Source organism: Homo sapiens, chromosome 21 (assembly GCF_000001405.40).
Source record: "Homo sapiens chromosome 21, GRCh38.p14 Primary Assembly".
NCBI lineage: Eukaryota > Metazoa > Chordata > Mammalia > Primates > Hominidae > Homo > Homo sapiens.
In genome coordinates this window covers 36,024,253-36,032,791 of record NC_000021.9, presented here as the reverse complement: position 1 = coordinate 36,032,791, position 8,539 = coordinate 36,024,253, and positions in this window count along the sequence as shown.

The following is an 8,539-nucleotide window of genomic DNA, read 5'->3' as shown; positions in this document are numbered from 1 at the left end:
AATAGGACAGCGACCCCCACACACATCAGCGGCCCCCACAATAGAACAGCGACCCCCACACACATCAGCGGCCCCCACAATAGAACAGCGACCCCCACACACAGCAGCCCCCACAATAGAACAGCGACCCCCACACACAGCAGCCCCCACAATAGGACAGCGACCCCCACACACAGCAGCCCCCACAGTAGGACAGTGGTCCCCACACATATCAGTGCCCCCCACAGTAGGACAGCAACCCCCCCACACATCAGCAGCCCCCACAATAGGACAGCGACCCCCACAGTAGGACAGTGACCCCCACACACATCAGTGCTCCCCACACACATCAGATTCCCCCCACAGTAGGACAGCGACTCACCACACGTATCAGTGCCCCTCACACAACACACCAGTGTCCTCACACAACACACCAGTGTCCCCCACACAACACGCCATTGCCCCCACAGAACATGCCAGTGTCCCCCGCACAACACACCAGTGTCCCCCACATGACATGCCAGTGTCCCGTGCACACGCCAGTGTCCCCCACACAACACGTCAGTGTCCCCACACAACACGCCATTGCCCCCACAGAACACGCCAGTGTCCCCCACACGACATGCCAGTGTCCCCCACACAACACGCCAGTGTCCCCCACACAACATGCCATTGCCCCCACAGAACATGCCAGTGTCCCCCCGCACGACACGCCAGTGTCCCGTGTACACACCAGTGTCCCCCGCACGACACGCCAGTGTCCCCACACGACACGCCATTGCCCCCACACAACACGCCAGTGTCCCCCACACAACATGCCATTGCCCCCACAGAAAATGCCAGTGTCCCCCCGCACGACACGCCAGTGTCCCGTGTACACACCAGTGTCCCCCACACGACACGCCAGTGTCCCCACACAACACACCATTGCCCCCACAGAACACGCCAGTGTCCCCCACACGACATGCCAGTGTCCCCTGCACAACACGCCAGTGTCCCCCACACAACACATGCCAGTGTCCCCCAGACATGCTAGAGTTCCACTGACAGCACGCCAGCACCTGCCCCCACCAGCAGACATTTCTCTCCCGTGCTCATCCCTCTCACCTTTCAGAGGGTGTTTCTCATCTTCCTGTTGTAACCTTTCACTATTTTCTTGTTTTAATATCCTTTTATTCTATGTAGTTTTAACATTAGGCTATAAGAAAATTAAAAAAAAAAAAAAACACCTGGGCCAGGCACGGTGGCTCACGCCTGTAATCCCAGCACTTTGGGAGGCCGAGGCGGGTAGATCACGAGGTCAGGAGATCGAGACCATCCTGGCCAACATGGTGAAACCCTGTCTCTACTAAAAATACAAAAAATAAGCTGGGTGTGGTGGCGGGCACCTGTAATCTCAGCTACTCCGGAGACTTAGGCAGGAGAATCACTTGAACCCAGGAGGTGGAGGTTGCAGTGAGCTGGTATCATGCCACTGCGCTTCAGCGCAGGCAACAGAGTGAGACTCCATCTCAAAAAAACAAAAAACTCCCCAAAATAGAATGTATTTAATAAAAATGTAAGGCTACCACTCCACAAGGTAGATAGTAGCAGGTGCTGTTACTATCCGAGGTGGGAGGATCACTTGAGGCCAGAAGTTTGAGACCAGCCTGGGCAACATAGTGAGACCCCCTGCCCCGCGTCTCTACAAAAAATAATAAAAAAATAGCTGGGTGTGGTGCTGCATGCCTGTAGTCCTAGCTACTCTGGAGGCTGAGGCAGGAGGATGGCATGAGTCCAGGAGTTCGAAGCTGCAGTGAGCTGTGATCACACAGCTGCACTCCAGCCTGGATGACAAATCTGTGGAGTCCTATTTAGGGCAAAGGAGTCAGGCTGGCGGGACTGAGGGAGTTAAAGATAAAGCAGATAAGTTACCGGCCTACCTTTCTTCATGGTCCAGGACACATAGCCCTCCAGTGCAGATAACGTACATTACCCACAATCCTCCTGCACCCAACTTAACATCAAACACTTCCGTTTATCATCAGACACCTTGGCTGATAGAAAAATGCACGTTAGCTCCTTGCAGCCCTGGCGTTATCAGTATTGTGCGCAGCCCTATGTAGCCGAAACCATCCTATAAAATCTCCAGGAGCCTTTGTCTCTGGCAGTCAGCTCCTCCTCCGCTGATCTGCCCGTTGCCTCCTAACAACGTGTTTTCATTCTTCCTCGCGTAAATCTGCCTTTCTTTACCTACAGCTGTCTTGGTAAATTCTTTTACCCCTGCATGCCACTGGCTCAAATGGTTGTCGCCCACCTGCGACAAGTGAGACCCTGACTGTAAAAAAAAAAAAAAAAAAAAAAGGTGGAGTGGGACTTAGAGCCACTGTGTCCTCCTGGTACCCGGTGGGATATCCCTCTTTCTCATCTAATTGTCACAATAGCTCTATGAGGCAGGTATTCCATCTTTTGTTAGAGTTGAAGACACTGAGGCATAGACGGGTCAACTGACTTCTCCCACATCACGTGGCAGGGATTAGAAGCCAGCAGTGTCTGGTGTCTGAGTTCCTGCCTCTGATGTGTGAGTGATACCTGTTTCTGCCTCCTAAGTTAGGCAGTCTAGGGTAAGGGAGGGGACCCGCCACCTTCAAGCAGTTTATGTTGTCTGGTTTTGCTTTGTGAAAGGCCGAGTGACTACTTCACCTTGCAGGCTGTTCTGGAGGAACCAGGCAACTCCACTCCCTGGCCCTGCTGCAGGGCAGAGTGAGCCAGTCTCTCTCGCTGCAGCCTCGCCTCAAATGGTCCCATTTCAGTTTTACAGCCCGCTTCTCATCACACTGACAGCTCATATCTCATACAGGGCATAGCTGTTATTAGAGGGCTGAGAAGGGGTGAGTGAGCCCAAAGCAGGCCTTTTCTCGTTTCCGTGGAATTCGTCTCAGGGGAGAGGCTCTCCTGTTGCAGTTGAAAGCATTGTCTCGGTGCCATAGAAACTGCTCAGAACCCTGAAATCTCTTCCTAATGCCCAGATTCAGAAGATAGGGCCAAGACCAGAACGGCAAAGACCCCACTCAGTAATGCTTGGGACAGTCAACAATTCCAGTTTTTACTGTGATAATCACAAAGGGAGACTAAACTGTTGACAGATAAGAGAGAGTTTGGGATGTCACAGAGGAAGCAGGTTGGGTCTAAGGCGACTGTGTTTGGGACAGGCAGCGTAGACCTGTGCTTCTCGTGCCATGTCTGAGACCTGTGTCACTGGACGTCTTTGCCTTCCAAGCCTCTGATGGTAAAGGCTGTAGCAGTGGTTGGCGGCTTTGCTGTTCACTGGAATCACATGCGGAGCTTTAAAAAATTCTGAGGCCGGGTTCCCACTGCAGGGGTCTGAACTAGTTGGCCTGAGGTGTGCCGGGGCAGTGGAGATTTAAAGCTCCCACATGACTGATGTTCACCAAAGTTCCCTTTCTGAACCTCTGGGATATGGGAGCAAGCTGCCTTACCTTTTCCCAGCTGGAACTTTCTGGTTTTCAGAGGTGTGGGAGGCAAGCTGAAGAGTGTCAATTCTTTTCTTTTTTTTTTTTTTAATTTTTTTGGAGATAGAGTCTTGCTCTGTTGCCCAGGCTGGAGTGCAATGGCGTGATCTCGGCTCATTGCAACCTCCACCTCCCGGGTTCAAGCAATTCTCCTGCCTCAGCCTCCTGAGTAGCTGCGATTACAGGTGCATGCTGCCACACCCAGCTAATTTTTTGTATTTAGTAGAGATGGGGGTTTCACCGTGTTGCCCAGGCTGGTTTCGAACTCCTGAACTCAGGCAATCCACCCGCCTTGGCCTCCCAAAGTGCTGGAATTATAGGCGGGAGCCACCACGCCTGGCCAAGTGTCAATTCTTATACTACACAAGTTCATGCTGCCTAAATGATCTTTTAAATAGTACCACTTCATGTTGAGTACAGATGAATCCAGAGATCAACTCTTTATCATTTGGCTCAGTAAATACAGTTGGAGTGCCCGCCCAGTCCACGAGAAGTGATTAGCAAATTTAATTCCACGTGTCTCCTTTAAAAGGCGCCACACCTCTCCGTGTCCAGAGTGTTTGGGCTGATGCTTGGTAAGTACCAGGTGGATCTTGGAATCCCTGTGGGACTTTGCAACGTGCTTGAGCCACTTCCACCTTTCGTACACTAGATGGCGCAAGAGGACCGCCGAGCTGACCTGGGTACTGCGGCTCGGTCAAGTCAGGCAGCAGAGAGTGGTTTTCCCAAATATTAGTAGCATCCAAACAAGGCAGAAGCAACTCTCCGTGTTTCCCCTGGAAGAAAATGCCAACGTTCACATTCTCCTTTGGGCGGATAAACACCACTTCAAGGTGATAGCTGCTCGGGAAGGGACCTGGCCAGGTGGGGCAGGGGCTGGAGAGGGCAGTGGTGGCTCAGATGTAATGGCGAGAGGAGGAGGGGGTGAGACCGTGCAGGAACCATCCTGGCTCTGCCCACAGAGGAGCCACAAATAAAGGCATATATTTAGCCCTTACTTTTGAGAAGGAGAGAACTTTTCACACCGGGTAGCAGGTTTCAATTTCTATCCTAATTGATAGCAGGTAGACTCAGGCTGTTTCAGGCAGGCCAAAAGAAGGATTTTTTTTTTTTGAGACAGAGTTTCACTCTTGTTGCTCAGGCTGGAGTGCAATGGGGCGATCTCTGCTCACTGCAACCTCTGCACCCCAGGTTCAAGCAATTCTCCTGCCTCAGCCTCCGAGTAGCTGGAATTACAGGCATGCGCCAAGAGCTGGACTTACAGGCATGCACCACCATGCCTGGCTGATTTTTTTATTTTTAGTAGAGATGGGGCTGGTCTCGAACTCCAGGCCTCAGGTGATCCACCTGCCTCGGACTCCCAAAGTGCTAGGAAGTTGCTGGGATTACAGGTGTGAACCACTGTGCCTGGCCAGAAGGATGGCTTTTAAGGAGTTGAAACTGACCACCCACACAAACAGAGGGACGGATCCTGTGACTCCTAGCTTCTCATCTGCCAGGTGTTTCTAGAATAACGTGAAGTATTTTGTGGTGAGGTGGAAAGAATCCATTTCTGCTGACCGAGGGGAGGCCTGGCCCATCTTTGTTAGAGGTGCATGACTGATCAGAGGTTGGGGCCTCAAGGTAGAGTGAAAAAAACCATCAGGGTGCGCTTGAGCTTCTCTGTCCACAGGATACTGAGACACTGTAGATCCCCAAATGGCTGGTGATGTGGACTGACTCAGTACAACATCACATGATGACTTGACGCTGATGGCCTCACTTGAAATGATTTCTTTGGTCAGCTGGACTTTATCAGAAGCTCTGTCATCTGGTCTTATGTGTAGACAAATTCAACTTGTGAACCGGGAAGCTGCTATAATGCTTTTCTCCCTCCTGATACCCTTCTCCTCCCCAGCCCCGTGCTATTGATACACATTCTGGCTTTGTGTTGAGTGGAAGTTTGTTTTCTCTTTGGCATGTTGATCTACAGAGTGCTACCAAGACCTCGATGAGGCCAATATTCAATATCACTATATTGAAGGTTTTTTTTTTTTTAATTGGAGGAGTAGAGAAAGGTATACATTACTGTTTATCTGATTGGAGTTGCCTCACTGGTGATGGTGATTATGTATATGGAATGCAGATATTATTTAAGAGAACTCAGGTTGGGGCCAAGCATGGTGACTCATGCCTGTAATTCCAGCACTTTGGGAGGCTGAGGTGGGCGTATCACTTGAGGCCAGGAGTTCCAGATCAGCCTGGCCAACACAGCAAAACCCCATCTCTACTGAAAAAATACAAAAATTAGCCAGGCTTGGTGGCACATGCCTGTAATGCTAGCTACTCAGGAGGCCAAGGCATGAGAATCACTTGAATCTGGAAGGCCCAGGTTGTAGTGAGCCTAGATCATGCCGCTGTACTGCAGTCTGGGCGCCAGAGCAAGACTTTGCCTCAAAAAAAAAAAAAAAAAAAAAAAGAGTAAGCCAGGCGAGGTGGCTCATGCCTGTAATCCCAGCACTTTGGGAGGCTGAGGCAGGCAGATCACCTGAGGTCAGGAGTTCGAGACCAGCCTGACCAATGTGGAGAAACCCCGTCTCTACTAAAAATACAAAATTAGCAGGGCACGGTGGCTCACGCCTATAATCCCAGCTACTCGGGAGGCCGAGACAGGAGAATTGCTTGAACCTGGGAGGCGGAGGTTACGGTGAGCTGAGATCGCGCCATTGCACTCCAGCCTGGGCAAAAAGAGTGAAACTCCGTCTCAAAAAAAAAAAAAAAGTATTCAGGTTGGAATAACAAGTTTTTTTTGTTTTGTTTTGAGACAGTTTCGTGCTCTGTCACCCAGGCTGGAGTGCAGCAGTGGCATAATCTCAGCTCACTACAACCTCCACTTCCTGGGTTCAAGTGATTCTCCTGCCTCAGCCTCCTAAGTAGCTGGGGTTACAGGCGTGCACTACGCCACCACTCCCAGCTAATTTTTTTGTATTTTTTTTAGTAGAGCTGGGTTGTGCCATGTTAGCCAGGCTGGTCTTGAACTTCTGACCTTAGGTGATCCAACCGCCTCGGCCTCCCAAAGTGCTGGGATTACAGGTGTGAGCCACCCACACCTGGCCACAAGTGATTTTTGATGGTTGTGGTTCAATGTTAAGAGTAGGTGGCCACCATGTAGTCTAGGCAGGGAGTCTTGACTCACAACCATGGCAGCAGTCGTGCGAGAGGAGAAATACTGTGTCTCTGTATTAGAAGGCAGTGTCTCTGATACCAGCAGGAGAAAAGTACTGGCAGGGGGCAACTGCTAGGATCTATCTTCTTTCTTTTATAGGTCACCAGGGCAAAAGTCTATAAAGGAGGCCACTACCACCAAAAAATGTCCCCCAGGAAGCTAAATAAGTGCTTTCAGCTTTGTTGATTGGGGCTGTTTGCCTTAGAACCCTGCTCCTCACAGGGTGATCTGCAGAGCACATCAGCAGCACCTGGGAGCCTATTAGAAATTCAGGATCTTGGCCGGGCGTGGTGGCTCACACCTGTAATCCCAGCACTCTGAGAGGCAGAGGATCACCTGAGGTCAGGAGTTCAAGATCAGCCTGGCCAACATGGGGAAACCCTGTCTCTACTGAAAACACAAAAATTAGCTGGGTGTGGTAATGGCACCTATAATCCCAGCTACCTGGGGAGGCTAAGCCAGATCACTTGAGGTCAGGAGAATCGCTTGAACCCGGGAGGTGGAGGTTGCAGTGAGCCGAGATCGTGCCACTGCACTCTAGCCTGTGTGACAGAGCGAGACTCCATCTCAAACAAACAAACACACACAGACACACACACACACAAATGAAAAGAAATTCAGGATCTCAGGCCCTGCCCTGGACCCACTGAATCAGAATCTGCATTGGAACAAGATTCCCGTGTACGTGAAAGTTAGGAAAACAGTGTCTTCGAGGTGTGACCGACTCCAGACATCGAGCCAGTTGGGCGGTTTATGACCTGTCTTCTGGGCTGTCCATTGGCAATCCCTTTAGCCCTGTCCTGGTTCACCCTTCCTTGACACGAGGTGCCAGTGGAGATGGCTCATTTACAGAAAGTGAGGCGGGGCTGGGGTTCTGCTCAGAGGACCCACGAGGCCCGATTATCAGCACAATGACCATGGTTTTGCCCCTTTTACTTTGGGGCATGGCAGTTGCCAAAGACTTCTTGAAGTGGGAGGCAGCTGGACAGAAAGCCACCAGCCCCTTACTCACACCACATGCTGGGGAGCCTCTGCGCCGTGGGGCTGCGGACCTCCAGCCTAAATCACTCACATTTGTGAGTTTTTCATTCACCGGGAAAAATAGATCCCAGTGCAGCAGTGTGGTTACAAAATCGCCGAGCTCCACAGGTGCATTAGGACTGGTGCACCCTGAGTGGAGGGGTCCCAGGATGTTCAGACTGGACCGTGGCATTGACTTAGCATTTCCAGGTGCCAGCACAGTACGACAGGCTGCCAGCCCTGAATCAGTTTCATCCTCAGTGGCTACAATAGTCTCCCCCAACAGATGGGGAAAGTCCAGCTCAGTCAGTCAGTCCAGCTTATTTTTATTAGCTAGCAAAGTCCCTTCCTTGTCCAAGGTTCGTGGCTGGTATAGACAGACCAGCTCTGGGTCCTGGTCTGCTGGATACCATGTGGGCACTTGGTACCCTCTCAGCCTTGAGAGACAGGGTCCTGCTCTTTTGCCCAGGCTGGAGTGCAACGGCCAATCATGGCTCACTGCAGCCTCAAATTCGTGAGCTCAAGCAACCATCCTGCCTCCGTCTCCTGAGCAGTTGGAACTACAGGCACGCACCACCACACCTGGCTAATTCTAAAAATATTTTGTAGAGACGGGGGTCTCACCATGTTGCCCAGACTGGTCTCAAACTCTAGGCCTCAAGTGATCCTCCCACCTTTGTCTCTCAAAATGCTGGGATTACAGGCATGAGCCACTGTGCCCAGTTACCACCCAGCCTCTTTCCAGTCGTTTCCCCTGGCTGCTCTCTGATTCCCCACAGCACTGAGGTCAAGGTTGAGTTTCACTGGAATCTTAAAGAACAAG